The sequence below is a fragment of the Homo sapiens genome, chromosome 12 (genome assembly GCF_000001405.40).
Source record: "Homo sapiens chromosome 12, GRCh38.p14 Primary Assembly".
Classification (NCBI taxonomy): Eukaryota; Metazoa; Chordata; class Mammalia; order Primates; family Hominidae; genus Homo; species Homo sapiens.
Window position 1 is genome coordinate 47,972,967 of NC_000012.12, and position 27,198 is coordinate 48,000,164.

The following is a 27,198-nucleotide window of genomic DNA, read 5'->3' on the forward strand; positions in this document are numbered from 1 at the left end:
TACTTTCCAATAATCTTTTCATTTTTAATATCAATTGATGTTTTAAAAAATACAGAGGTGTTTGACACAGAATAGCACCATTGTGTAGGACACACACAGTTCCTGCGCCCGGCACCTGAAGGGAGGTCTTCTGGCCTGGGCTGGGGGCAGTCACTCAGGGGGCATTTGACTCACACCAGTTAGTTTCCTGCCTCTGCCTTGACCCGAAGGTCTTACAGGAAGACAATAAATAAATAGAACACCGAGATTTTATTTTGCAGTCTGCCCAGTTCAGGTCTCTTAGAAAGAGAGGGGAGAAAAGTCCGAACTGTGAGAGGGTGGGATGAATGGACATCAGGTCAGGTCAGCCATTCAGTGCAGAGTCCTAGAGTGACTGAGATTGGAAAGTACTTGGGTCCTTTGGGTTTGCAACGGATTGTGTTGTTTCTGGGTTCAGGTTTTTACAAGAAGCAGACCGGCCCTATGTCCACACCGAATTCCTGCTCGGGCCCTCCTATGTCCATGGGTGCAATGTCAATGATGGGGAGGCGTGAGGTCTTCTGTGACCGGTACTCGATAACAGTCTTGCCCCACTTACCGGTATGTTTCTAGGGGAGAAAAAAGGAGGAGGCTCTGTTCAGTAGATGCCTTGCTACCCAGTTCCAGCTGCCCAGAAGCCCAAAACTGAACAAACTGGCGAGCATCAGAGCCCACAAGGTTGAACCACACTGAGGGGGCTCCTGAGACCTCTTCTTGGCTTGCCAAAGGCCTCTCCACTTCAACTCCTATCCTTAGCGGCAGGGCCCTTCTCCACCCTGCCCTTCCCCTCCTTCCCCACTCCCCACAGTGAGCTCCCAACCTGTGACCGCTTCTTCACCCTGTACACATTGCGAGAACACTTCTACAGTAGTCACTGGGTTCCAGGTAGGGTTTTGTTCCCCTGAGCCAGGGGAATGGAGAAGATGGAATGATATGTGCCTCTCTCTCACCTGTCACTCAGCCTATCTTCTCTACATGACCCTCAAACTCATGCCTCTGATGATCCTGTCACTTTAGGACCTGACAGCTGCCGCGGGCCAACCCTCAGCCCTGCTCCAGGCGGTTTGGGCACAGGCAGCTCTTCTCTCTGGCAGCCCCACTCACCGTGCAGCCATCCTTCAGGGCAGTGTACGTGAACCTGCTATTGCCCTCTGCCCGGATCTCCACGTCATTGGAGCCCTGGATGAGCAGGGCCTTCTTGAGGTTGCCAGCTGCTTCGTCCAGATAGGCAATGCTGTTCTTGCAGTGGTAGGTGATGTTCTGGGAGCCTTCCGTGGACAGCAGGCGTAGGAAGGTCATCTGGACGTTGGCAGTGTTGGGAGCCAGATTGTCATCTCCATAGCTGAACTGTTGGGGCAGAGAGCGGCAGTGTGAGGCCTGGGAGCTGGCATTCAATGGGACCAGGGGCTGTAGGGGCTGCCAAGAGTTCATGGTTCAAGGACCTCAAGGGTACTGGGGCAGCAGGGAGCTAGTTGGACATTTTTGCTTCCAGGAGTGGAGCAAGCTCAGAGGACCTCTTTTCCCACCTCCACGTGGGGAAAAAATACTTTTCCTCCTCTTTCCCTCCTCTCAAGCCCAACAGAAAACTGGAGGAAAATATGGGGAAGGTGCTAAAAGCTTCCAGGGAGAAAGAAAAGAAAGAGTTTGAGGAGCCATCTCTGCTCATCATCTAGGGCACCCAGGTACTCACATGGAAGCCACCATTGATGGTTTCTCCAAACCAGATGTGTTTCTTCTCCTTGCTCTTGCTGCTCCACCAGTTCTTCTTGGGAACGTTTGCTGGATTGGGGTAGACGCAAGTCTCGCCAGTCTCCATGTTGCAGAAAACCTTCATGGCGTCCAAGGTGCAGCCTTGGTTGGGGTCAATCCAGTAGTCTCCTGCAGGGGGAAGAGGCAGCACCCATGGGGGCTCAGACAGGCACAGACACAAAAGCTTGAGAGACCCAGGCCTGACTGAAAGAGACAGAGAGGCCTACAGGGACAAGGGATGAGGTTCACATGTGGCCTGAAAGGAGGGGGACCTGGGAGGATGCAGGGGCAGGGAGATCTGCATGAGCTAAGTCCAGCCCTAAGGAAGAACACATGCAAAGAGAGCAGAAGCAGTGCCCAGCTGGTGGATGGAGTCCACCCTGAGGTCACCTCGGCCAGGTAGCCATGGCAGGACAGGGGCCAGGGCTGCAGCTTCTCTGCTGTGAAATAAGAGAGGAACCCTCTGGCGGAAACTTCCAGGCCCAGCTCTGCCCTGTACTAGGGGGCATCTCCTCCCTTGCTGCTAGGCCTAAGGGATGACTCCCTGCTTCCCGGGGCAGGGGATCCTGTTCTCCAAGCTTACCACTCTTCCACTCAGGGTGGCAGAGTTTCAGGTCTCTGCAGGTGCGAGCAGGGTTCTTGCGGGAGCCCTCGGGGCTGCGGATGCTCTCAATCTGGTTGTTGAGGGACTTGAGTGTGGCATCCACCTCGGCGTCATGCTGTCTCAGGCCACCGGCTGCCTGGTCGGCCCGCATGTACTGCAGGGGGTCGGGGCCCTTCTCTCTCGGGCCTAAGCCAGCAAAGGCGGACATGTCGATGCCAGGGCCAGGGGGACCTGGAGGACCAGGGGGTCCAGGATTTCCAGGAGGACCCTGCAGCAGGAAACAGAGAGATCAGCCAGGATTGTGTGAAAGTGCCCCTCCATGTCCATCCCCATTTGCTAGAATGTACTAGAGTGTCCCTCTTCCCAGCCCCATGGGTGGGGCGGAGGTGTAGCAGGCGAGGACCAAGGAAACCACAGCACCATGTCTATTTCTTCCTTAGCCCTTCTCTTCAGTTTCCCAGCACTGATCATGGGCCCTGTGACCTCTGAGGAGACCTCAGGATAAAGGATGCCATCACTGTTAGCTGCAGGCTGATGCCCTAAAAGAGGCCCTGAGCAAAAAAGAGCTCAAGCCTCCCGGATGGTAGGGACACCTCGACAGCAGGGAAGGAGTCAGGACACTTACAGCAGGGCCGGTTTCGCCTGATCGTCCACGGGGACCAGGAGGCCCAATGGGGCCAGGGATTCCATTAGCACCATCTTTGCCAGAGGGACCGACGGGGCCAGGAGGACCCTGCAAGAGAGAGAGGTCGTGAGGAAAGAGTGGTCACCACAGGGAAGGCTGGGGAGTCGCTGGGGCTGGGTAGGTGGCTGTCCTGATAGCACCAGCCACTCCGCCCCCAGTTCTTCACATGCTCAGTCATGGAACCCTAAGTTGGTCTCTATTTGGCCAAGAACCAGCAGGATAGCTCCATGGCTTGCCTACCCTCCTAAGCTCCTCTTTGTAAAATGCTGTTCTGTCTGACAGCGAGAGGCTGATTCATGTTTGTCTTACAGCCATTGTGGCCTCAGGCGCTTTTCTGGCCATAGGCACATGAGCCAGTCCTGCCCCCATTACTGAGTGAGGACCCCTGAGCCCACAGCTTCCCCAGAAGCAGCAGCATTTCCCTCCCCATGGGAACACAGGCCCACACTCTCTGAAGGGCCCCCTCCATCTTCCAACTCCATGTCACTTACTCTAGGGCCAGAAGGACCAGCAGGACCAGAAGCACCTTGGTCTCCAGAAGGACCCTGTGTAGAAGGAAGAGGCAAAAGGCCACGGTCAGCACAGACATATCTATCTATATTCTGGGAGCTGGGGGAACAGCTTTATGTCCCAGCCCCATTCCCTTTCCACTTCCTCCTCCCTCCAGCCCTGAGGAAATCCTAGAAACTGCTTAGGGTGATCCCAAGCTGTCCTGGCAGCACAGGGAGCTCAAGTGGGCTCTGTGTGGCAGGAGGCCTCGGGAAGTCCCACGCAGGCAGTGACACTCACAGGAGGGCCGGGCAGACCCTGCAGACCAGTGAAGCCACGGTGTCCCTTCAGGCCTCTCTCGCCAGGCTCTCCAGCCTCTCCTTTGTCACCTCTGGGGCCTTGAGGACCCTGGGAACAAGACAGACACCGATTGAGTCAGGTCAGGGCCAGGACAGGAGCCCCCTCCTGTCCCACCCAAGCTGAGGAATCCCCGGAAACACAGGGCTGGAGGCCCAGGAACCACCTGGAGGCTGGCTGCCCTCCCAGCCTATCCCTGGTGGGGACTCAGTGCAGGACACTTGGATACTCACCTGGATTCCCCGGGCTCCAGCTGGTCCTGAGGGTCCCATGGGGCCTTGTGCACCCTGAGGAGAGAGTGAGCGCAGCGTCAGAGAAAAGCCAGGACAGGTGGGGGCCTCCTCTGCATCTGAGGCCACTGCTCCTTAGTCCAGAGACTGCGGAAACCCAGGGACTGCCTCAGCCCCACCGCGCAGGGGAAGGCGGCTTTTACTGAATTCAGGATACTTACAGCTTCTCCTCTGTCTCCTTGCTTGCCAGTTGGACCAGCGGGGCCAGGGGAGCCAGGGGGCCCAGGGGCTCCAGGAGCTCCCACAGCACCAGTCTCACCACGATCACCCTGTCAGGAGAGAGGTCTCAGGCTCAGAGAAGAATGTTCCAGAAGAGACAGGAACAGAAGGTCCTTCTAGGCTGAGATGAGACTTGTTCCAACCTGCCACCCCCAGCTGACCTGTCAGGCCCGAGGCAATGTCCTCCCCAACCCACTGCACACACAGACACCAGACACTCACCTTGACTCCAGCAGCGCCATCTCTGCCAGGGGGGCCATCAGCACCGGGGCTTCCCTGGACAAAGTGAAACAAGAATGCACTTAGAGCTGCTTCCTGCCCATCTCCCCCTCTGCTCCCCCAGCCCCTCTCAGAAGCCCAGGCCTCTCCTCTTCTGCCCAACTCACTCACACTTTGAAGCCAAAGTTTCCTCACCAAGTTTCCCTCCTCCTTCCGGAAGCAGCCCTTGGTCTCTATGCCCGTCTCTCTCCCCGACAACCTTCCCATTGTACCTAGGCTTTCAGGCCTGTCGGCCGACACTGCCACCCCCTTCTCCAGGGCCCTGACTGGGACTTGTCCTTGCTGACCCAGCACAGAGACTCACAGGGCCCCTCTCCCCAATCAGGGCCACCCCAGGGGGTCTCACTGCTCACCTCTCGTCCAGGTTCACCTGCAGGACCCGTCAGGCCAGGAGGACCCACGGGGCCAGGAGGACCTCTGTCTCCAGATGCTCCAGGAGCACCCTGCTTGCCGGGCTCACCCTGGAGGGACAGAGACAAGGATGATGAGTGCAAGTGGTAAGCACCCCTGCCCAGGGCCCACTGACCCTTCAGGGAGAGGGCAGACAAGGGACAGTCCTGAGGGTGCTGAGGGAGGTAGAAGCCTTGGCAGGCAGGGCCCAGCTTGGATGGAGGGAGGGATACCCCACACTCACCGACGGGCCAGGCAAGCCAGGGAATCCTCTCTCACCACGTTGCCCAGGCAGACCGACGATGCCTCTCTGACCAGCCAGACCCTGGGGACCTGGTGGACCTTCGGCACCCTGAGAGAGGAGAGGCAGGAGATGAGAACTGACAGTGGCCCAGCCTCTTCTGTCCTCTCAGCACAGCTCTGTCTGTGCAGCCCCGCTCCCTGGCATCCCCACGGCCCCTGCTCCCTCCTACCCCATGCTCTGTGAGCTCAGAAGCCACTCACGACCCTGCTCCCAGGGACCTTGGCATGGGCCTGGTGAGGGACTTACAGAGGGACCGTCATCTCCAGGCTCTCCCTTCTCGCCAGGGGGTCCAGCAGGACCTTGGAGGCCGGGTTCACCAGCTCGGCCAGGGGGGCCGCTGTCTCCTCGAGCACCTTTGGGACCATCTTTTCCAGAAGGACCAGGGGGACCAGGGGGTCCAGGGTTGCCCTAGAAGGAGAAAATGCGGGAAGTGAGGACTCATCTCACCCTTCCTCATCCAGGCTGCCAAAGTCACTGTGGCCTCAGTGACAGCAGTTTCCTCTCTGGGGGCTTCTCTACCTCCCCACACTAAGGGCAGGCAGCTTAACCCCCCCAACCCCAATCTACCGCTGCAACCTTCTCACCATGTGAGACAGCTCTGGGCAGACAGCCCCAACTTCTCCAGCTCCTGCTTGCTTTGCTTTCTCCCATCTACCTGGAATCTCTCCTCCCTCCTCCCTTTGTCCTCAATCCCCCTTCCTCAGGAGCCGCTCCAGCCCTGCCCCTCTGACCCCTGAGCTTGCCCCCAGCACTCTCTCCCTCTGCCTATGGCGCTGGTGAACCCAGTGAGTTCATCACCACTGCTCCCTCCATGCAAACTCCCTGAGAGCGACCCAGGACATGCGGACTTGCTTTAAAGCACACAGACAAGTGCACAGAACATGCTCAAGAAACATCTGTCCAGGATGAAGGTAATCATGGCAGCCCTGTCCTGCCCACCAAGCCAGCAGGGCAGCCACCCATTGCTGACAGCAGGGCCACAACCCTGCCCCCAGCCACCCTCAGGGGATAGGTCCCCATGATCAGTTAGCTACTCCTCCAGGGGGCAGGAACGGACTCAGAGGAGTGAAGGCCAGCCTGGAGCTCTCCAGACCCTGTTGGGTGCTGGGCCAGGCTATTCCATGCCTGCCTGTGCCTCTCATGCCAGGAGCATCACTTACATTGGAGCCTGGGGGTCCAACGCGGCCAGCAGCTCCAGGGAATCCAGTGGCTCCCTGTGTGGGGAGAGGAGAGCCCCTGAGAACCTCAAGCCCTCAGGAGGTTTGAGATTAAAATGGGCGGGGGGCGGGGGTGGTCTCAGAGCCTGGTATGGAAAGGGCGAGGGACTGCAAAGCAGCAAGGGGGATCCAGGGAGGGAGAAAGGGCCCCCGGGTCTGGTCATAGAAGCAGGCACAGGCTGTTTCCCTGCCTCCGGTTTCCACAGTCAGCACTTCAGGGAGCTGAACGAGGGACAAGCCTCGGGCTGGGGAATCCGGGACCACAGTGCACCCAGCCCACAGGCGCCCTCTCTCCCACCTGGCTGTGGGTGGGCTTAGGCTGGGGACCAACGCAGGGCTGGGAAAACAGTCGGGGGCATCCCAGAACACCCCCGCCATGGGAGCCTCTGGGGCCAGGCCTCTTTGTGAGGTGCAGGGTGGGGTGTCAGAGGCCTCACTCACCGGGGGGCCTTGGGCACCTCGGGCTCCTTTAGGACCAGTCACTCCAGTAGGACCCTGGAAAGGAAAGAGGGAGACAGTGAGGCCCAGTGGCCCAAGGAAGACGGTGGGCTTCTGTCTGAGCCCCAACAATGGACCCCTGAGGTTTTCGAAGATGCAGCTTTCTTGGCACTAAAAACCCAGCCTGAAGAGGCTGCCACAGGCAGCTCTGTCCCCTCTGCCACAGGAGACTTGTGTTCTAGGAGAAGCCTGTCAGGCAACCACAGAACCGGTCTGGGGTCTGGCCTCCCGGGAAGCTCTTCCTGCCACCGCCCCCTCCTCCCCAGGAGATCAGCAGCTTGGTTCTGGCTGGCTGTGGCCAGCCTGTACTCTGTCAGTCCCTACACCCCACCCACACAGCCCACATGCCACATGGAAGCTCCTTCTACCAACATGGGGGTGTTCCCAGGCCTGCGAACCATCCTCTGCGCAGCCTGCTGGGGCCTTCCCATCTGCACGCCAGGAGCCCTTCCTTGAGGGAACAATTCTTGGAGTGCAGCGTTACCCACCTGAGGCCCAGGTGCTCCAGAGGGGCCCTGAGGACCAGGGGCACCAGCATCGCCTTTCTGGCCGGCCTCTCCTTGCTCACCCTTGGCCCCAGGCTGGCCATCAGCACCCTATAATGGGAAGGAGGAAGCAGGTGAATGAGGGGCAGGCTAAAACCCTGGAGCTCTTCCAGAAGAGCAGGAGACTCTGTGAGTATCTGCGTGTGTGTCCTGGTCTGGACATGATGGTTCTATTAGTATGGAGGCGGGAAAGGAGAGGAGAGGAGCATCCATTTCCCTCCCTGACAAGCTCCGATGCCCGAGGGTGCTGGATGTGGAACTGGCCTGAGTGGAGGGACCCAGGAGGATGGACAGAGATACTCACAGGAGGCCCAGCAAATCCCGCTGGTCCGGGGGGCCCAGTCTCTCCACGTTCACCCTGTGAGAGAAGGGGGCATGGCGAGAGGTCAGGCCCCGCTGCCTGACCTGCTTCTGCTCCCCTCCAAGAGCCCCTTGGGCCCTGCCCAGCCTCCTGTTCCCCAGAGACGGGGATCTGAAAGCAGCCTTAGTCCTGAACGCAGGCAGAGGCTCTGTTAACCCAAAAGCCCTCACCCTGAACACATGATGGGAGTGACGTGCCTTCCCCCTTCCCTTCCCATCTCTCCTCCCACCCTAGACCCAGCGGGTAGGGAGGGAGCCAGTGCCTGGCAGCACACAGGGCCACCAGGCAGCATGAGGGCCTGCACTGACTCCCTGGCTCTCTGGTTCCCAGGGGCCTCGGGCAGAGCCAGGCTCAGAGGGGCAGACACTCACCGGAGCGCCACGAGCACCAGCACTTCCTGCAGGACCAGGAGGTCCAACTTCTCCCTGAGGGTGGGGAAGGGAGGAAGAGCTGGGGTAAGAAGGTGGGGAGGCAGAGTGGGAGAGGGCAAAGTGCATTTGGGGGGCCTTGCTCGTGGGAAGGGGGCTCCAGGTCCCCCTGGCACAGCCTGTGTTACTGTGCAGCCCATACCCGCACCCTCTCGAGGGCCTCTGCTGAATGTGTGTTTACCCCAGCCCAGTTGCCCCACCCAACAGGGAACACTGCCAGCGGCTTCACTTCTGAGAGGGCCCCCTCTTCACTCCTACGGCCTTGGCCGAGGGTGACAGTGGTGAGGGAGGACAAGACAGAACCGCCTTTGGCAGGAGATAAGAAGGAGGTGTGACAGGGAGGCAAGGTGTGGAGAGGAAAGGAGCCGGGACTCACCTTCTCGCCATTAGCACCAGCTGGGCCAGGGGGGCCAATGGGACCTGTCAGGCCCTGCGGGGAGAGCAGGTAGAGGTGAGGGAGGCAGGCTGAGCCAGCCGAGCACGTGCGGCCCGGCACCAAGCCAACCTTGGTGCGTGCTCCCACCGCCTCCAGAGCTCCCACTTACCCTCTGGCCCCATTTTAACAGAGAAGTCCCTGCAGTTGCCCAGCCCCGACAGAGACAGGACCAGGGACCCCAGTGGCAGACTGCCCAGCCCTCTCTCCTGCTCTCCTGGGTGCAGGGCTAGGATCCTAATGCCCAGCAGTCCAGCAGCCCGCATTCACTTACTCGTCCACCATCCTTTCCAGGGGCTCCCTCAGGGCCTTTCTCACCAACGTCACCCTGAGGGAAGAGAAAACCAGCCGCCTCAGCCAGGCACCCCAGGACCCCCATGGTTTGCTCAGTCCCACCCAGGCTGGGGTGCTAGGGAAAGCCCAGTCCCTGCCCAAGAGGAATTTGCTGTGGTCTCAGGGTGGGTGAGGAGCAGCAGGGGTGAGATGAAGGAACAGGGGAAAGGATGTCACTAAAAGGCAGGGAGCTTTGGAAAGGAGTCTTTAAGCTCCTCAAAAAGGGCTAACAGAAACCTTCATCACCAGGTGCCATAAGGGAACGGAAGCGATCACAAGGGGCAGGAATGTGGCAAAGCCACAGCTTTGGTGAGAGGCTGTAACCTCAGTACTTACCCTGTCGCCTTTGGGCCCAGCGATACCAGCTGCTCCCCTCTCGCCAGGCATTCCCTGAAGACCTGGAGGGCCCTGAGCCCCAGGGGGGCCTGCTGGGCCAGATGCACCCTGGGGAGGGAGGTAAGAGGGAGTCTGTAGTGGACAGCACCTCTCCCTGAACCCATGTTCATGGAGCCTGGGTAACCAGGGCCCCAAACCCCTCTTCCTTCCCTTCCTCCCATGTAGACCTCCTTTCCAGCTCCCCCCACTTCTGTTCTTCATTCCTCCTGAGCCCGCTCCTCTTCTCCCTGCTCAGTGGGACTCCCAGGCTACCACGAAGACCCCTACAGGATGCAGCCTCACTTACTTTGGGACCATCAGTGCCAGGAGTGCCGGGGAGGCCACGGGGACCCTGGAGGCCCTGGGCACCGGGAGAGCCACGTTCACCTGGGAAACCTCGTTCACCCTGCGGCAGAGACACCAAGAAGTGATCAACCAACAGCAGTGGGGGAGAAGGTCCAGGGAGAAGCAGGGAGGTGGGGAAAGGAGCAGGAGCATAGGACCCAGGGCAGGCCCAAGGAGGCAGCCCGCATTGGCCAACAGGATACTCACCCTGGGACCCACGAGGCCAGGGGCTCCAGCTTCACCGGGAACACCCTGGAGAACAAAGAAAGATGTGTGAGAGTGAAGGCTTCATATCACAGACCCCTGAACAATTCTCCACAGCAGGGCTGAATATCACTCCTCCCATGGGGGATTGTGTCATCTGTGGAGGCTGGGACATGGGTCCAGGACATTCCCAGGCCTCACAGGGCTCCTCATGCCCTCTTGCCCTTGCCTCCTAGGCATCAGAAAAGACCTTCCCATCTAAACAGGTTGCAGGTCCAAAGAGCCCCATACTCACCTGGTCACCTGGTTTTCCACCTTCACCTGGGGGACCAGGAGGGCCAGGAAGTCCCTAGAAGCCGAAGTGACAAGCGTTAGCAAAGGAGTGAGTTTGCTGCCCTGGCCCCCAGGGAGGCACAGTATAGGGCAGACCCAAAGAAAGGAAGCAGCAGCAGTGACAGCCAGGGGTGCAGGGAAGGCTCGATGCCTGGCACCCTGCAAGAGGTGTGGGCCCTCCACCGATAGTGCCTGCTGCTGTCCCAGGGAGCCCTGGGTATGGCAAAGGACTGCACAGAGAGCCTGGTCCAGCCACCTACCTGGAACCCAGATGGCCCAGGAGCACCCTGCTCGCCTCGTTCACCAGCAGGTCCCTGCAGTGGAAAAGAAAAGGTGAGCTGAGCCAGTGTTCCAGAGACCCTGAGAGCCACAGCTAGTAGGGCCCAGGGGAGGTCAGCAGGGTGGGCAGCACAGGCGTCTTCCTGCACCACTCAGACAGTGCATGCATGCCTCCCTGCACTCCCATCAGCCACCCACACTCCTCTCCACCAATGTGGGTCCACACAGCCTCCTGGGACACCCTGCCTCAGCTCAGAGTGAGTCTGGTGTATCAGCTCAGCCCACATTCACATCTGTCAGCTCCATTAATGGATGGGCTCTCCCACCCCCACCCCTCCCAGCCCCTGCCCCCAGGGCCACCTGGGGAGGCTGGGCAGGTACTTACAGCAGGGCCAGGGGGTCCTGCAGCACCTGTCTCACCATCTTTGCCAGGAAGACCCTAGACAGAAGAGAAAAAGAAAAGTCAATGACACGCTTTTCTTCCCACTTGCAGTCCCCCTAGGATTGGGCAAAGGTACTTCTGGCCCAGAGTTTCCAGACCTCCACGGTACCCCAGCTGAGCTCCATTTCCACACCTTCCCCTCCCTTCCTTCCCAGGCCCCGTCTTTTCTTAGCTGTTCTCAGCATGGAAGCCTTCCCCAGCTCCCCGGCCTGCTGACCAATGGCAAACAGAAGTCTCCCTGTGTAGACACCCAAAGGGCCCAGCCAGCATGGGGCTCAGCCACAGAGATCAACACTCAATACTGAGGGGTCCCGGGACCATGCCATGGGGAGGCCGTTCCCCTGTCCTCCCTGCAGATGCCCGGCCAACACCAAGTCATGGGCAGCGGGGAAGGATACTTACCCTCAGACCAGGAGCACCAGGCAGTCCCTTCTCACCAGCTTTGCCAGGCTCACCCTGAAGGAAAGAGAGGGCAGGGCCATGAGGCGGATGGTTTGGGAGGGAGTTGGGGGCAGAGCGGGCTGCAGGGACTGAGGCCTGGGGCCACATCCTGATGGACAGCCAAGATAAAGCAAAGTATCAGCCCTTCTCTTCTGTTCAGGGGCCATAATGGCAACCAGCCTGCTGGGCACTGCCACATGGAACAATTATGGCCGCAATGCCCCGAGGCTCTGTGGGGCCATGGATTTTCCCCAAATCACATACAGACCCCCACTGCCACCCATGGCACAGGAGCCCCACTCATCACTGTCCCTGGTTAAACTCTACTCAGGACCCAGCCCTTTCCCCAAGAGGGCAGGGAGGTAGGTAGCACCACATGGAAGGAAATAGAAGAGCAAATTATTACTTACGTTGGCACCTTTGGGGCCAGGGAAACCCATGACACCAGGCTGCCCACGAGCCCCCTGAGGACCTGGAGGTCCAGGACGACCATCTTCACCAGGGGCTCCCTGAAAGACAGAACACCATTCTCAGAACATAGACACTCTGACCACATCCATCCACCCAACATCCACTAAGGGCCTACATGGCAGGCCCAGGACTAGGCACCAGCCACACATGCTCAGCATCTAGGATTGACCACATCACACCCATGGGCCCATCTACAACAAGACACCGCTGAGCTTAGAAAGCTGCCCCAGAAAGTGCACACACGATGTCATCATTCCCCCAAGGATAAGCCCCGAATGCATACTGGGGTGGCATTTTCAGTGCTCACAGCTACTGCACAGGTTACATCTGGCCCCAGTGCCTACCATCTACCCCCTGTCACAATTCTCAAAATTCACAGTACTTCAGGCCTCCCTAACCCAAACTCCATCTCTCTTTTCCCTTGCTTCCCCAGGGAGATCCCCCCACCCTCCTAGCAGCCCTCAGAGGATAGACTTACAGAAGGGCCAACTTTGCCTTGAGGACCAGCATCACCAGGGCGGCCAGTGAGACCCTTTGTTCAGGAGAGAGAAGAGGGTGGGGTCAGGAGCCGGCCCCAGGACCTCCCAATCCTGGCAGTGCAGGGCTGGAAGGAGCCAGCCAGGAAGGGCCTGAGGGTCTGAAGCCAAGGGCAACAGCAGCTCTGCTACTTACCCGGGCTCCAGGAAGGCCAGGTTCTCCAGGACGGCCAGGGTCACCGTTGGCTCCCTTGGGGCCAGCAAGACCACTGGGCCCTCGCTCTCCAGGGGCTCCCTACAAGGGTACACAGGGAGTCAGTGGGATACCATGTGACCTCAGCGATGCAGGGAGGGACCCCAGCCCCTCTTCTCCCACTCACCTTGGGACCTGCCAGACCATCTTGACCTGGGAAACCGCGGTTGCCGGGAGCACCCTAAGGAGCCACAGGGAGGAGAGGCAGTGAGTGAGAACAGCCCCAACCCAGCCAGGCTCCAGTGGGTCCATCCCACTAACCCACCAACCCCAATTTCTGGGGAGCAGTAGCTGTGGCCTGCAGGATTCTCAGAGGTTAACTTCTGGAGCCTGCCCCGCTTCCTGGGAAGGAGCTCAGACTATTTCATGTCAGTCTGGTGGTTGGCGGCACAAATCAGGATCAGACTCCCTCTCCCCGCGGTGTGGATGGAGAAAGAGGAGGATGACATGCGGAAAAGTCACGAGACTTGACCAGAACACGGACCACAAGGACTCCACTTCCCTCTCGAGGTCACAGGCCCCATGGGATGGAGCCTCCACATTCACTTAACTCTTTCTCCAGGGGGACCGATGGGCCCAACGCCACCAGGCTCTCCACGGGCACCTCTCTTGCCTTCTTCACCAGCGGGTCCAGGGGCTCCCTGGGGGCCAGCAGGGCCCTGAGGACCAGCAAAAAAGAGAAACAGAGTGAGCCTTCACCTGGCCTTGGAGCAAGCCTCGACTCAGAGTATGAAGGAAGTAGCCTTGGCAACTGTTTCAGGGCTGGGGGGGGGCTTGAGGACGAGAGGCCATAAAGGACGAGCCATGGCAGGGCAGAGGGAAGTGAGAGGGGCTAAAGATCCAACTGTTCACACTAGCCAAACCAAGGATGGGAGCTGAAGCTGTATCTGGGCCTTCTCAGCCCTGTTAAGTCTCCTCCAGGCATAATCTGAAAGGACCCAGATTGGGGGATAGAGCCCTGGAGGAGGGAGGTGGTGGGTCAGTGGGGCTGAGGCCTGTGCCTCATAGAACAGCAGCAGAGAAGACAAGGGCTTGGGGGCAGATACTCACAGGTTCTCCCTTGGGGCCTTGTTCACCTTTGAAGCCAGCAATACCAGGTTCACCCTTGAAAAGAGAGGCAGGTCCTCACACCAGATTCTCTCCAGGGAGCCTGCCCCTCCCCAGAACCCCTGTTCAAGATGCCCTCGGATGGAGGCCGCTGTGAGGCCAGGGCAGGAGAGCATGGGAAAGAGGGGTGATGGGGTTTGACTCCAGAGATGTCAGTGGAACTTGGGGGTCACTTTGGGCTCTTACCGTCTGACCTTTCGGGCCCAGAGGACCAGTTGCACCTTGAGGGCCAGGAGGGCCCCGTGGCCCAGGGAAGCCAGGAGCACCAGCAATGCCAGGAGCACCCTGTGGGCATGAGAAGAAGGGAGGGGTGTCAGGAGAGGGGAGAGGCAGGACTGGGCTCTCCTGGGGTAGCAAAGTCCACGGGCAACACTCACAGCAGATCCTTTGGCTCCAGGAATTCCATCTGTTCCAGGGTTACCCTGAAAAGGGAGACATTGTCAAATAAGCAGCAAAGAATGAACCCCAACCACCTCCAGCCCTCCAGGATCCAGATCCAGGGACCTGGCATAGGTGCTGTCCATTTCAGGGACATTCCCACTATGTGTTTCAAGGGGAAGATGGGATAGAAGGGAATACATCTAGAGGTGGGGACAGGCATTGGGCCAGAATGAAGGTTTGGTGGTTGGAGCCCACAACTGTCAGAGCAAAGTACAGAGTCAAGAGTTCCAAAGCCACAGACCCCAGACCCCCCCAGGCCAAAGAGAAGCTGCACTTACGGAGGCACCAGCAGGCCCAGGGGACCCAGGAGTACCAGGTTCACCGCGAGGACCTTGAGCACCTTCAGGACCACGGGCACCAGTGGGGCCGGCTTCACCCTGGGAAGAGACAGGGAGGATGAAATGAAGAAGAAGAGAGGGGACACAGACCTCTAGTGGGTGGGCAATAGCTCAGGGCCAGCTGCAAGCACAGCACTAAATTATGCACATGCACCCAACCCTGCACATGAACATGTGCGTTCACACACAGTTCACGCTGCCGTTTTTCTCCCTGCCTGACCGAGCTGATGACTTGATGACTTCCCACGCCTGCCTCCTCTACTGCTTACCTCATCTCTACACAGTGAGCCTCCACATGCCACGGCACAGCTACATACTACAGCAATGGGCAACCTGCTGTTCCATCGACACCATCAGAAAAGCGTGGGCTGGGGACCCTGCCATCCTGGCACCGTGGGATGATGGACGGACACCGCTCTCTCCCCCACCTCCTGTTTTTCTATTTTATTGAGGAGCTGAGGTCCCTTCTAAGTCTCTGAACATCCCAGCTCAGAGCACCACCTCACTCCCATCTGGCTGACGGGTGAACAGTGACACCCTGGCTCCGGCCCCAGTCTGTTCTCAGTAAGCCAGAAAGCCAAGGCAAAAGCACATGGGGACTCTGCCCCTCCCTGCTCTCAATACAGCCCAATTCCCCTTAGCGGGCGCCTCTGGCAAGCCCCCTCCCCACAAAATGGCTTGTGCTTTTACTTTCATTTTTTCCTGAAAATTACAACCCACTCTAGATGGCAGAGTCCCTGGGGAGGGCTGCTGACCTGGAGAGAGGGCAGAGCCTCCTCAGGTTTCTTCTCAGAACATTCCTGCTTCACTGTGGTAATTATTATTTTCAAAAGGTCAGCCCCCCTCACCTTCCGCTGTCCCTCTTCACAATGGGTCTCCTTCACCCGGCTCCGGGACCTCAGACACTGTCTGGTTGCCATGGAAACCCCCAGGAGGGGAAAAGCAACCTGATGCCAGTGACACATGGAGGCTCCTTATTCATTCCCAGGGACGTTCACACTGGAATCCTTCCTGGGCTGCGAGGCCTGTCCCTGAACTGGCTGGCCTCCCACTGGCCTCTAGTAATCCTCCAGAGAACTCCGTTAACATGGTTTGGAAGAGCCAGGCACCCCAAATAAAGCAGAAACCCAGAGGGGAGCAGGGGCTCCCTGCCTGTGCCCTTTTCCCTGCCCAGTTCCCTCCAGTGCCCGTCAGGGCCCCGAGCTTGCTCAGCTGTTGGGTCTCCCCTAGGTTTGCTTCCCTGTGCTGCCACTCCTGGCCTTCTGCCCCTGCCAGGCCTATGGTGTATCCCCGTCTTCTTCTCTGTCCACCTTTCCCCACTCCAAAGTTGTAACTGGATCTCCCACATTTTATCTTCTGTCTTACTTTCCCTCCAGGTGAGACTGCGAGTGTCTGGCTTTTTGCCCTGCCTGGATGGAGGGGCCAGTGGGTGGGGTGGTGGGGAGCTACTTCTCAGAAGGGAGCAGGTGGTTGTTGAGGGAGCAATGAGCAAGGGTTACGGGGAAAGGACAGCTTCTCGGCACCCAGAAGTTCCTGACTGGACAACAGGGCACGTACCTTGGCTCCAGGAGCACCAGGGAAGCCAGGACCACCAGCAGGACCGACAGGACCCTGGAGAGAGTAGGCGGATGAGAAGAGAGGTGAATGCCAGTTCTGGCCTCCAAAGCGAGCCACCCCGACACCTCACACTCCTTCCCTCCTCTGTACTGATTTCACTCCATATCCATTGTGGCTAAAAGGCCTTGGATGAAAATTGTCCCCATTGCCAGCGTCCCCAGGAAACTTTGCCTGGCTTCAGAAGGCAAAGCAAGTTTCTGACTACATCTGTGGTGAGAAGCAGAAACTCCTTTGACCTCCCTCCTCTAAAAAGACTGCTGAAAGGATGGCTGAGGAAAATGAGCCCATGCTTCAAAGCTTGTTATCGATATGCTCAATTGATATTTACAAACTTCTTCTCTTTCCTCCCCCTTTCCAGTAGACATCAGAGTGCTGCTGTGGTTGCACCCAATACACCCTGCAGACTGCCTTGGGCTGCTTAACGGGACTTAAAGCACAGCAACAATGACCTGCTGAGGATGAAATGAACTTACCGGAGGCCCTGCGGGGCCTGGCTGACCATCGTTGCCTCGGGCACCCTGTGAGCAAGAAGGAAGTGACCATGAGAGGTGCCCACAGGCCCTGTCCGTCCCTGCTCCCAGCCCACCCTTACAGAAAACGAAGGACACACTGTGCCTGGGGTGTCCCAGGGCAGAGCACGAGGATGGCGAGGTGTGGGCTGCAGTTTTGGTGTCTGTGCGAGTGGGTGGCCAGAAGGCAGTAATGGGCTTCTTCTAATCTTTTTTTGTTGTTGTTTTTGAGACGGAGTCTGGCTCTGTCGCCAGGCTGGAGTGCAGTGGTGCGGTCTTGGCTCACTACAACCTCCACCTCTCAAGTTCAAGCAATTCTGCCTCAGCCTCCTGAGTAACTGGGATTACAGGCATGTGTCACCACACCTGGCTATTTTTTTTATTGTTATTTTTAGTAGAGACTGGGTTTTGCTATGTTGGCCAGGCTGGTCTGGAACTCCTGACCTCAGGTGATCCACCCGCCTCAGGCTCCCAAGGTGCTGGGATTACAGGCGTGAGCCACCGCACCTGGCCCCTAATCTTAAACAAAGCTTAAATCATTTTCTCTTTTCTTCAACTTCAGTTCAGACCCCAAATATCCGTAACTTCAAGGCCAAGTGATCATTTAAAGACTGAGAGAATTGAGTGTAAGGAAATGAAACAGCGAGGCAACCATGTGGACTCAGTGCTTCCTGCCTGCTCAGGGGGAAGCGCTTTCAAGGCTTGGTTAACCTCTGTGGTTAAGGCTTGGTTAAGGCCTCCTCTTGGTTGACTCCAGGTTGCCTCTTCCTCTGGCCCATCCCCAGACAGCCTGCTCTTACGGAAAACAAAGATGCCCATAGGATGTCTACCATTGGCTCCCTGATGGGGCAGGGCACCAGCCACAGCTCAAACACTACATCTGAGCTCAAGCCCTAAGAGGCTTTTGCTTACAAAGCAAGGCAAGGTTGCCAGCTCCTTCTCTAGGACTGGACTTGGAGGGGGAGGGTTTTTTCTGCCAAGTTTGTGGTGGCACCCCTCAAATGCTCTCTCAAGGTTCCTTAAGGCCCAGGGAACTCTTTACCGAAACTCTGGGGGCCACAGGCTGGGTGGAGCTGGGCCTAGGGCCTGACTGAGCAGGTCAGGGGGGTACCTTTTCCTGCTGAGTCCTGCCTGTCAGTCTCTGCCTCTCCTTAGAAGCTAAAGAAGGATGCTTTAGGGGGAGCTCGTGTTTTAAATACAACTCAACTCTTCTTCCTGGCTGGGGTCCATTTCTCCTAACGGAGACTCTCCAGATTGGCATTTAAGAGGAAAGCAAGAGAAAACTTAGAAAAAATGTCAGCAGGAACATAAAGCTTCAGGATTGGCCACAGCCCCTCTGGGCTGGCCTGGCTGCTTCGGGAAGCAGTTCCTTGGGGAGCTCTGGAGCACCCTCTCCCCAGGGGTCAGCCAGCAGGAGGGCCCAGCCTGGGCCTGAGTGAAAGGGAGCTGCCATGCTGCTCTGAGAGGCCAGAACTAGGCTGACATCTGCCACCTCTCCCTGCAGCAAGTCTGGAGAGAGGATACAGGCCCAAGGGAGGGCACATGACCACAGCAGGCAGACACCAACCCAGCCCAGTCTCCAGGCCAGCCTTGACACTAGATCAGCACTTGGATCTCCATGAGCCTACCCCGTGTCTGGGGCCTGCACACCCCGGACACTGCACAGCCCCCTTCTGGAAGTCAAGGCTGAGAAGGCTGCTGGGATACCACAGAGCAGAGGCCTCGCAGAGCAGACTCCAGAGAGGAGTCTGATGGGAGGGGAGAGGGAGGAGTAGCAAAGAAGGGCTCAAAGGCAATGTTGTCAATCTTCTAAGCCAAATCCTACACACGCTGCCAGCCTAACTACCGTGCGGACAGGAACCAACAGAGAGAACCAAGAAGCAGGGCGGCTGTGCCCAGGAAGGAGGGAACAAGGACAGGAGATGGAGCTTGTCTTTAGCCCATGCAGACTAGGGCCACCGCAGCTCTGAGCCTCGCTAAAAGGCCACAAGCCAGCATCCTGCTAATCTGTAGAAACGGCAGTGTTTCTTGGCAGCCCCAGTGCTCTCTAATCCCCTCACACAAAGTGACCCTGGGGCAAGGCACTTCAGCAGCTCTGGCTGACAAAGGGGGGTCGAGGCTTCTGCTTATTTCACTGATCTGCCTTTGAGGGAAACTTCTGCCAAACAGACACATTAGCTGGAAAGCAGCACAACGGAGTGAAGCTGCTTTATTTTGGCCAGCCCTGCAAGGACCTGTGAGGAGGGGCCTCAGAGCTTGGGTGTTGGGGGTATGAAATCAGCAGAAAGCATAATCTTTCTTAAACACAGCTTTCATCGCATCACTCGCCTGACCAAGTGCCTACAAGGACTCTCTATTGCTAAGGAATCAGAGCTAAACGCCTCTGTCTGGCACCCTGCACCCTCCATCAGCTGCCAATCCCCTCACCCTTAATTTCCCACATTAACTAGAGGCCACCAGAGTCTAAGGCTGCAAGGCACTATTTATCTTAAGCTATTTCACCTTTCTGTGTCTCGGTTTTTTCATCCGTAAAATGGGGAGAAGAATAGAACCACCTCTCAGGATATGGAGGAAGATGAGATGAAGTAAAGCATATAGGGTATTAAACACAGGAAGTGCCTATGGAATGGTGGCCCCTGGTACTATAGCATAACATCCCTCACAGCAGCAGCCAGCATAGAGCCCTGTGAGTTGATGCTCACCTGTTCCACTTTTCTAGGGCATTTGAGCAACCAGGAAGAACAGAGAGTAGCACGGTGGTGCTATAGCCAGCTAAGTCTGTCTGTAAACTCCAGCTGGATTGCCCAGGGAGTGGGTGGTGGTTGTTGAAGGGATTACCTGATAATCTGGACTGGTTAAGAGAATCATGCTTTCACCCATCGACCCTCCCATTCCTATCCTTCCTCCTTCAACTGTGCAGACTCAGCCTGGGAAGTTTTGATGGGCACACTGGGGGTGAATTCTTAAGGGATAACAATACTCCCTATGCCTCACAGGGTTGTTTCGAGGGTCAAGAGAAACAAACCTGTAAACTCTAAAGTGCTCGGCAAATGGTGGTGTTTGGCTTTGTCAATTACTCACCGCAGCGCCAGCAGGGCCAGTCCGTCCTCTTTCACCAGGCAGGCCACGAGGACCCTGGAACACACACCAGGACAGCCTAAGCATGAGTTGGCTTTACGGTGCTCAGGGTGACCATTTCTACCTGCAGGCCCTTTGCGGATACCAGAGGAGAGGGAGGATGCCCACACCCAGGAAAACAAGGACCTCCTGATGGTGCTGGCTCCTTGACTAGCCAGGATGCCTCAGATCACACCCAACAGTTTTCTCCACAGGCGGAACACACGAATGTTCCTGTTGCTACCTATTGGGAACCTTTGTTACAAGCACACCTTGCTCCTTGCAGTAGATGAGCTTGACAAAATGTTGAGACTCAACAGAATTTTTTTAAATGGGAGCATCTTTAGTGTGATAAAATGGGTATCTTAAGGAAATGTTGGTGAAATCTTGAACAAATCATCTGTCTAATACATTTTGCTTTTTGCTCACAATCAGATGAAATCTACAACACAGAATATGAACTTTGCACAAAGGGAGCTCTTTGCAGCCATCTGATAGTCTGAAGAGTCTTTGATAAACCTTCCTGGAGGGTGTCCATACTTACCATTGGGCCCGGAGATCCGTTCTCACCCGGGGAACCACTCTCACCCTGGAAAAATGATGCACAAGGTCAGTGTCTGGGACCCCATTCTTGGCCGCCAGCAAACTCCTAGGGAAGACGCCAAAAGCCCTGGTCATCTCAGCTCGCACTGACACAAACTTCAGTCCTGTGAGGGACAATGCCCTGAGCTCTCCAGGCCTGCTGTTGGCCCATCAGGATGTAGGGCTGGTGTTCCCAGCCAAGGCTGTTCTGAGGAGCTAGTTCCACTGAGCTCCACAGTGTCTCCCTGGCTAGGAAGAGGGGCTCCTCATTGTCTCCCTCCTCCCCATCCCATTGTACTTTCTGGCCTCTCACCTTCACACCAGGAGCACCCGCCTCTCCCTTAGCACCGTCCAGGCCTGGATAACCCTAGGGAACAAGAGAAAATGTTCAATCAGACTTCTGGGAAACCCAAGTTGGAAGAAATGCACGCACCCCAAAGTGCTTTTCTCTCCCACCAGGCATCTCTTCCTTCCAACCTTCTCACCCGTGATACTTACTCTGTGACCTTTGACACCAGGAAGGCCTGGGGTTCCTGGGAAACCACGAGCACCCTGCAATCCAAAGTGGAGGTGTTCAGAGCACAGAGTAAAATAACAGTGGAAAGCTGCCCTGGGCTGCAGGAGGGCCTCCAGTTCCCTTGGGCCACCAGGGCGTTGTCTCGAATCCCCACACTTGGACAGCTCTTTCTGTAAAACCCAGACCACCCCTCCCCGTACCCCCCATTTTATGCAAAGTGGTATAAATAACAACTGCCCAGCCTCCCTCATGAGAGCCTGAGTGGAAATTACAAACATGGTCGTGATAAATATAGGGGCTACTGGCGTTTCATCTCAGAAGTGACCTCATTGAACTGGATGCACTGTGTTTAAGGCCACAGGGAGGGAGACGCTAGGAAAGATGCCTGAGGCTGGGAACGGTGGCGTTTACCTGAGGACCAGGCGGACCCCTTTCACCAGCTTTTCCAGGTTTTCCAGCTTCACCCTGAAGGGAGAGAGAGAGATATCCCAGCTTCCTCAGAGACGCAGTAGCATAGTGGGGGCACCCCAGAGGGCTTCCCTCCTTCCAGCCCTCCATGCCTTTGCCTACCGGCTCACTCATCTCCCTCACCTCCTTCAGACTCCACGTGCCTGGATGCCTTTCATGGGTCACCATTTATTCTTTTGGACACATGCATAGCCCATGGGCAAGCTCCTCTGTCCTCACCAGCCTCCAACTTCCCCTGAGAGGCTTTTTCTCTCCTCTCCTAGGTTCTGCTGACTGTATGTGCTCTCTCTAACCTCAAGAGACTTTTACTGTCTAATGCAATTCATAAAAATAGCACAAGAGTGCCAATTCTTGTCTCTTCATTTCGTTTGCATCCTTTGTAGACATCCTGACTCAGGCTGTGCTTTTTCTAACTCATTTACAATTAAGATAATGCTGGGTTGTTGAACGCTTCTTTCTTTGTTTTTCCTTCTCTACATCTTTCTGCCTTGTATTTTTTCTCTCCCTTCTCTCATTTCTCAATTTCCCTTCCTGGGGCTAATGATGTTTTAATTATTTGTCTTCCCCTTGGATCCAAAGCGGTCCCCAGGGAACTTGCCAGCACAGTCACAGTGGCCATATAGATAGGAGATGGCGTCAGGGTTTGGGACTGCCCAGTCTTGCTCCTCAAGATACCTCCACCCTGGGTGCCTCCCTGTCACTCCCCAAGCACACACCCTCTCCAGGCCCTTTCAAAGGAGGCAGCTCCTCATTTGTCTACTCGTGTATACTCACATCATCACCAGGCTTTCCAGGGGGACCAGGAGGACCACGGGGACCCATGGGACCCTACAAACAAAGGAAGATAGTTTAAGAGATGGTTATAGTGGGAAGACACCTAAGCAATGGACAAAACTTTGACATTGTAGTTTTGGAAGCCAGTTCTTCTATGAAGAAGAAAGATGGGAAGGTCAGAGCAAAGGTGCAGAGATCATAGTGGGACGCAGCAGATAGCACAGGCTGGGGTGACCCGGAAAGGGGGCTGTTAGGACAGAGTCCCTGGTGGTCCTTGCCACATTGGGCTGTCTGTCAGAGTTCCTCCACAGCTAGGAAGTGACATCCGAATTTCCTTGGGGCCACCGACTGTGGGAAAGAGCTGGGCAGAGCCTGGGAGGGACAGCAGCTGCGGTCCTAGTGGTCTATCATTAGAGGCTCCCCCAGAGAAGGGACAGGGCCGTGCTGGTACTCACAGAGACACCAGGTTCACCAGGTTCACCAGGATTGCCTTGAAATCCTTGAGGCCCCTAAAAAGTAAAATGAGGATACCAGGTCAATCCCTATAAACTGCTAAAACATCATAGTGCTTGGGAATCATCTGCGACACGATGGAGGCAAAAAGAATTGCAGATACTTACAGGAGCACCTGCAGGGCCTGGAGGTCCTCGAGGTCCCATGGGGCCCTGCATCGGAACAGAAAATGAGGGGTTTACTACACATGCTTCCTCAGTGGCCTCCAGTGTGCCATCTTCTCCCAGCCAACAGCCCGGGCAAAGGACAAGAAGTTACTCTGTGGGCAAGGGGCCTAGAGTGGCTGCTCCCTCTCATTTCCCACTCCCCACGCAACACTCTATTTTTATTTATAGGCACCATTTGGACAGAAAAGCTGGCCTTGCTTTCTCCTGGACAGCAGCCATGTTTACTAAAGGCTGAGTTTCATTTAGCATGTGCCAAGTCAGAGCTGCGGGCTGAGATTTCCTGCTGGAAGTCTGTGGATGCTGGAGAACAGTAGCTGCTGTCTGCATTCTTCAGTTCTCATTCCAAGAGCAATAGCAACTGGTCTTCTAACAGATCAGCCTATATGCATCTCCCCATCTTCATTCTTCTTAGTCACTCCAGCGCATCATTAAAAGTGGCATCCATTGCCATTAAAAACCAAATGCTTTGGGCTAGCTGAATGGGAGGTTACATAACTACGGAGGAGAGCCACTCTAAGCAATTATCTGTAAAGCAGAGGTTGTCAGACTCTCTGGCTCTGCTAAGGGCCACCTCCTGCCATTTTGGCTGCAAAGAACTAGTGTCTTTTCTTACCATTGGTCCTTGCATTACTCCCAACTGGGCGCCACCAGCCTTTTCATCAAATCCTCCAGCCATCTGGGCAGCAAAGTTCTGCAAAGAAACCCAACAACGTTAGGAGGTTGAAAGGCACTAGGTCTTCCCTACTTGGCTAGGTAAGCTCTATATGGATACAAAGAACTCTACTGAGATAAACTCTGATTGTTGGAGACTAACCTATCATTGATCAGAATTACCACTGATGCCTGGAAAGTAATTTTGGGAATGGATTATTAGATGACAGTGGCAAAATCATTTCACTGGAAGGGAAAGTGTTATTTGAGGAAGTATCAGTTCCTTGCATTTCATTTTATAAAATTATTTTTATGCTCTAAAATATGACAGATGTTATTTAACGTATATGGAGAAACATAACCAAACCTTCTAAGGGTGTTCTTTATTCTTTAAGACTTTAGTGCCCAGCAAAAGACTAAAATCAACAGTCTTGGAATATTTCAGCAAGAGATGTAGTAGGCATCTGTGATCCCATTTGAGTTTAAGAATTTAAAATACAGCAAACATCAAAATAGCAAACCTGCAAAAACTAGGCAATCATATAATTTGTTGATTGGTTTGATTCCAGAATTGACTTTAGCCACACACCTTCACTCAGTGGAGCTCTTTCATGAGAGTGAATAGTTGCTTGGAATGTACTTGGCAAGAACCAAGGATAAATGTCTTCCAAGGACAGTGGTCACTCGTCTTCCAGGGAAATACAAGTGCCCAGTCATCCTTCCTCCTATCCCTTACACCCACCCCCCAGCATCAACTACGTGGTACAGATGCCAGGAAGCCAGGTAACTGAGGACTTTCTTTATAGAATCCCAGTTAGTGAAAAAAGCCAGCCCTTAGCACCACAGTCTCATGCCTAATATGTGACTCTTCTAAATTACAGGCCTGAGGGCAAAGCCCATGGACAGGCTATGTACACACTGCTGGCAGCCCTGGGAGCCAGCCAGGTAAGTGCAAGCAGCAATTTAAAAGCCACATTTCTGGAGGGACAGCCTGAAGGAATGGGAAGTAAGGATACTTACTCCACCAAGACCAGGGGGACCAGGGGGGCCGGGAGGACCAGGGGGGCCAGGATTTCCAGGGGTCCCAGGTTCTCCATCTCTGCCACGAGGTCCAGGGGCACCCTTGGCATAAAGAGAAAAAGGCATCAATGGGAAGCAGTGTTTCTCCAAGAGCCATCTGTCCCTTGGCTGCTCTTTAAGAGGTGACCAGGCCCTTAAACACATGGTGGGGCCTTGGGGGACCTGGGAAGTCCACCAGGGTCAAGCAGCATTGCTTTTTACTCACTTTTTCACCTTTGTCACCACGATCCCCTCTGGGTCCTTGTTCCCCTGCAGGTCCCTGAAGGTGAAGAACATGGTAAGATGACAGCAAGGCCAGGAGCCTGCAGATCAGTAACTTGCGCGCAGCGAGGAAGGGACGGAGAAAGAGATTTCTCCCTCTCTTACCTGAGGCCCAGGAGGTCCTTTGGGTCCTACAATCTGTGAGAGAGAGCCCCACAGGATGGTAAGTTAGAGGAGAGCACAAGGAAATGACCCATTTAGAGCAGCAGCTGCAATACCGGGTGAGAATAATTTGCACTTACATCCTTGATGTCTCCAGGTTCTCCTTTCTGTCCCTGAAACATGAAACATTCACAGGATTAAGCCGAGTAAGCCCACTAAGCCCCTAGTCTAAAACCCTGCCAGCAGCCCCTGTGTTGAGGTACCCTCTGAAACAGATATCTTCTGATGTCTAAAAAATCACAGACTGGATTAACATAGCATTGCTTTTGAAGCAGAAAATATAAAGCCAAAAAAATATGAAAAAAGAAAAAGAAGAAAGCCCTTACCTTTGGTCCTGGTTGCCCTGCAAGGGAAAAAATATAGAGAAGAAGAAGGTAAGAATCTTGAGATGGAAAAATACCTATTCTTGTCACTCAAACACTCATTAGATCAAACAAGTAAAAGGACACAATCAAGGAAGGCGGCAGCTTCCTGTGACTCCACTGAACCCCTCTGTTGGGGTGTTAGGGCCACTGTGGCCCTGGGGTTGCTGAGGTCCCATGAGGAATGGAGGTGACCCAGACTTTGTTATTCAAAAAGCAGGCAGCATGCAAAAGAAAGGAGCAAGGGCAGCACAAAAAGGCAATGAAGAGCTCAAGATCTAATCAGCCACAAGAAGGAAAGCACAGATTCAGTCTCTCTTCCCCCCACAGGGTAGGGAGCCGTTCCCGAACCCCAAGCCCTCCCAGAGGAAGAGTTAGGTACTTAGAAAGGTCTTACATTAGAGCTGGGTCTCCTTGAAGCAAGCACAAATAAAAACACAAAAACAGCAAGGCATATGAGTTATGAAGAGCATCGGAGCATCATAGCCTGTGCCATCCCCAGTCAATAACCTCTCCTTCACAGTAGCAGCAAAATAGTAAAGGCAATCAACACTTCACTCACACGGGCCCCTCAGAAAGGATCTGGGAATCTGCACATTAGGGAGCCAGTGTTGGTGAAGTGTTAAGGAAAGGCAGCTTCTCACTTCCCTTGCCACGGCCTTCTCTACTTCAGCAGGAAGCGGACAGCAAGAGCTACCCAAAAAACCTACACAAGCGTCCCCACTCACTCTGCAGGGAGATAGGACATCTGTATGAATGCTGGGAAGGGGTCACCTGCACATATATCATCCACCAGCACTGGATCTAACTGGGAGTTTATAACCACCCACTACAGTGCAGATACATGGGGCTCTGTCTCCACCCGTCCCCACGAGAACTCCCAAAGCCTAGCCCTTCCCTCTCCTATTATTTTGCTTCTGAATTAATGGTCAACTCCAAGAGAGGTAATAGCAGAGAGGAAACTACCACCAATGTTCCATAACTCAAAGAGGGAGCCTCTGCCCCTGCAGTCTCCCCACTAGCTGGCAGAGCTTTCTCCACACTGAAGACCACATACATAGAAGTCTTCTAAGGAGAAGACAAGGTGTCGGTGGCAGAGGAGGAATTAATTCGTGGATTGGCCAGACAGAGCATTTGATCTCCATAGTGGCTCTAGTAATTTGCAGAGATGATTTCAGAGAGGATTTTTTTTTTTTTTTTTTTGTAGAATCACATCTGTCCTTCATGTGTCTTGGAAGCAAATGTTTTTGGAGATGTTGGGCAAAGAAGGACCCCTCTAGTGTCTCAGGCTCGTTCACTCAGTTTCAACCTGCAAGTGAGAAGTGGCCTTTCCTTTCTACCCCAGCTACCAGGTCCCATGGATAACTAGCCCCTCTGCTTTGCAGAGACGACCAGCATCTATGGGAGCGTGTTTGCAGTGCTTGCAAGTAATTTATTTATGTTGAACAGGAAATAAATAAATTACAACCACTGGCAGTGGCGAGGTCAGTTGGGCAGATGGGGCAGCACTCTCCGAAGGGGATCTCAGGGCTGAGGCAGTCTTTCACGTCTTCACAGATTATGTCGTCGCAGAGGACAGTCCCAGTGTCACAGACACAGATCCGGCAGGGCTCCGGCTTCCACACATCCTTATCATTATACCTCTGCCCATCCTGCACACAGCTGCCAGCCTCCTCTGCACCAAGGGTGGGGAGGGAGAAGCAGAGAGCCAAGG

General features: G+C 55.4%; 1 protein-coding gene and 1 long non-coding RNA gene across 8 annotated transcripts in view, besides 3 other annotated features; one reads left to right on the forward strand and one right to left on the reverse strand.

The window, feature by feature from the left end:
• COL2A1 (collagen type II alpha 1 chain) overlaps window positions 1-27,198 on the reverse strand; it is a 33,246-nt gene continuing 6,048 nt past the window's right edge. For 4 of the 7 annotated variants that reach the window (XM_017018829.1, XM_047428315.1, NM_001844.5 and 1 more), the window contains 53 exons: window positions 26,953-27,159; window positions 25,449-25,465; window positions 25,203-25,235; window positions 25,066-25,098; window positions 24,905-24,958; window positions 24,640-24,741; window positions 23,582-23,659; window positions 22,909-22,953; window positions 22,744-22,797; window positions 22,289-22,342; window positions 21,458-21,511; window positions 21,028-21,081; window positions 20,843-20,896; window positions 20,492-20,536; window positions 19,912-19,965; window positions 16,795-16,839; window positions 16,262-16,315; window positions 14,645-14,743; window positions 14,303-14,347; window positions 14,112-14,210; window positions 13,869-13,922; window positions 13,370-13,477; window positions 12,946-12,999; window positions 12,762-12,860; window positions 12,568-12,621; window positions 12,029-12,127; window positions 11,580-11,633; window positions 11,121-11,174; window positions 10,717-10,770; window positions 10,419-10,472; window positions 10,127-10,171; window positions 9,882-9,980; window positions 9,536-9,643; window positions 9,141-9,194; window positions 8,810-8,863; window positions 8,377-8,430; window positions 7,949-8,002; window positions 7,588-7,695; window positions 7,043-7,096; window positions 6,545-6,598; window positions 5,631-5,792; window positions 5,325-5,432; window positions 5,044-5,151; window positions 4,634-4,687; window positions 4,354-4,461; window positions 4,136-4,189; window positions 3,846-3,953; window positions 3,548-3,601; window positions 2,997-3,104; window positions 2,351-2,639; window positions 1,709-1,896; window positions 1,123-1,365; window positions 1-587 (listed from right to left, as the gene is read on the reverse strand). In XM_017018829.1, the coding sequence (XP_016874318.1) occupies window positions 441-587; window positions 1,123-1,365; window positions 1,709-1,896; window positions 2,351-2,639; window positions 2,997-3,104; window positions 3,548-3,601; window positions 3,846-3,953; window positions 4,136-4,189; window positions 4,354-4,461; window positions 4,634-4,687; window positions 5,044-5,151; window positions 5,325-5,432; window positions 5,631-5,792; window positions 6,545-6,598; window positions 7,043-7,096; window positions 7,588-7,695; window positions 7,949-8,002; window positions 8,377-8,430; window positions 8,810-8,863; window positions 9,141-9,194; window positions 9,536-9,643; window positions 9,882-9,980; window positions 10,127-10,171; window positions 10,419-10,472; window positions 10,717-10,770; window positions 11,121-11,174; window positions 11,580-11,633; window positions 12,029-12,127; window positions 12,568-12,621; window positions 12,762-12,860; window positions 12,946-12,999; window positions 13,370-13,477; window positions 13,869-13,922; window positions 14,112-14,210; window positions 14,303-14,347; window positions 14,645-14,743; window positions 16,262-16,315; window positions 16,795-16,839; window positions 19,912-19,965; window positions 20,492-20,536; window positions 20,843-20,896; window positions 21,028-21,081; window positions 21,458-21,511; window positions 22,289-22,342; window positions 22,744-22,797; window positions 22,909-22,953; window positions 23,582-23,659; window positions 24,640-24,741; window positions 24,905-24,958; window positions 25,066-25,098; window positions 25,203-25,235; window positions 25,449-25,465; window positions 26,953-27,159 (4,379 nt within the window). In that variant the 3' untranslated portion in view covers window positions 1-440. Of the gene's footprint in view, window positions 588-1,122; window positions 1,366-1,708; window positions 1,897-2,350; window positions 2,640-2,996; window positions 3,105-3,547; window positions 3,602-3,845; window positions 3,954-4,135; window positions 4,190-4,353; window positions 4,462-4,633; window positions 4,688-5,043; window positions 5,152-5,324; window positions 5,433-5,630; window positions 5,793-6,544; window positions 6,599-7,042; window positions 7,097-7,587; window positions 7,696-7,948; window positions 8,003-8,376; window positions 8,431-8,809; window positions 8,864-9,140; window positions 9,195-9,535; window positions 9,644-9,881; window positions 9,981-10,126; window positions 10,172-10,418; window positions 10,473-10,716; window positions 10,771-11,120; window positions 11,175-11,579; window positions 11,634-12,028; window positions 12,128-12,567; window positions 12,622-12,761; window positions 12,861-12,945; window positions 13,000-13,369; window positions 13,478-13,868; window positions 13,923-14,111; window positions 14,211-14,302; window positions 14,348-14,644; window positions 14,744-16,261; window positions 16,316-16,794; window positions 16,840-19,911; window positions 19,966-20,491; window positions 20,537-20,842; window positions 20,897-21,027; window positions 21,082-21,457; window positions 21,512-22,288; window positions 22,343-22,743; window positions 22,798-22,908; window positions 22,954-23,581; window positions 23,660-24,639; window positions 24,742-24,904; window positions 24,959-25,065; window positions 25,099-25,202; window positions 25,236-25,448; window positions 25,466-26,949; window positions 27,160-27,198 lie in introns of all 7 variants that reach the window. The other 3 variants (XM_017018830.1, NM_033150.3, XM_017018828.1) reach the window with 2 other exon arrangements.
• Window positions 1,159-1,371: a silencer, noted in NCBI's record as "fragment chr12:48367908-48368120 (GRCh37/hg19 assembly coordinates)". NCBI's record gives its function as "represses an EF-1alpha promoter that drives an FKBP-Casp9 reporter gene in an ReSE screen in HepG2 liver carcinoma cells {active_cell/tissue: HepG2}" and the evidence as "EXISTENCE:reporter gene assay evidence [ECO:0000049][PMID:32094911]".
• LOC105369752 (uncharacterized) lies at window positions 7,681-9,909 on the forward strand. The gene is made up of 4 exons (XR_944910.2): window positions 7,681-7,773; window positions 8,336-8,460; window positions 9,449-9,508; window positions 9,831-9,909. It is a non-coding gene; the product is annotated as an uncharacterized LOC105369752 (long non-coding RNA).
• Window positions 8,325-8,870: an enhancer, noted in NCBI's record as "H3K4me1 hESC enhancer chr12:48375074-48375619 (GRCh37/hg19 assembly coordinates)". NCBI's record gives its function as "activates a minimal SCP1, AML or CMV promoter by ChIP-STARR-seq in primed H9 embryonic stem cells {active_cell/tissue: H9 hESC(primed)}" and the evidence as "EXISTENCE:reporter gene assay evidence [ECO:0000049][PMID:30033119]".
• Window positions 17,248-17,297: an enhancer, noted in NCBI's record as "active region_6277". NCBI's record gives its function as "activates an Ori minimal core promoter by ATAC-STARR-seq in GM12878 lymphoblastoid cells {active_cell/tissue: GM12878}" and the evidence as "EXISTENCE:reporter gene assay evidence [ECO:0000049][PMID:35858748]".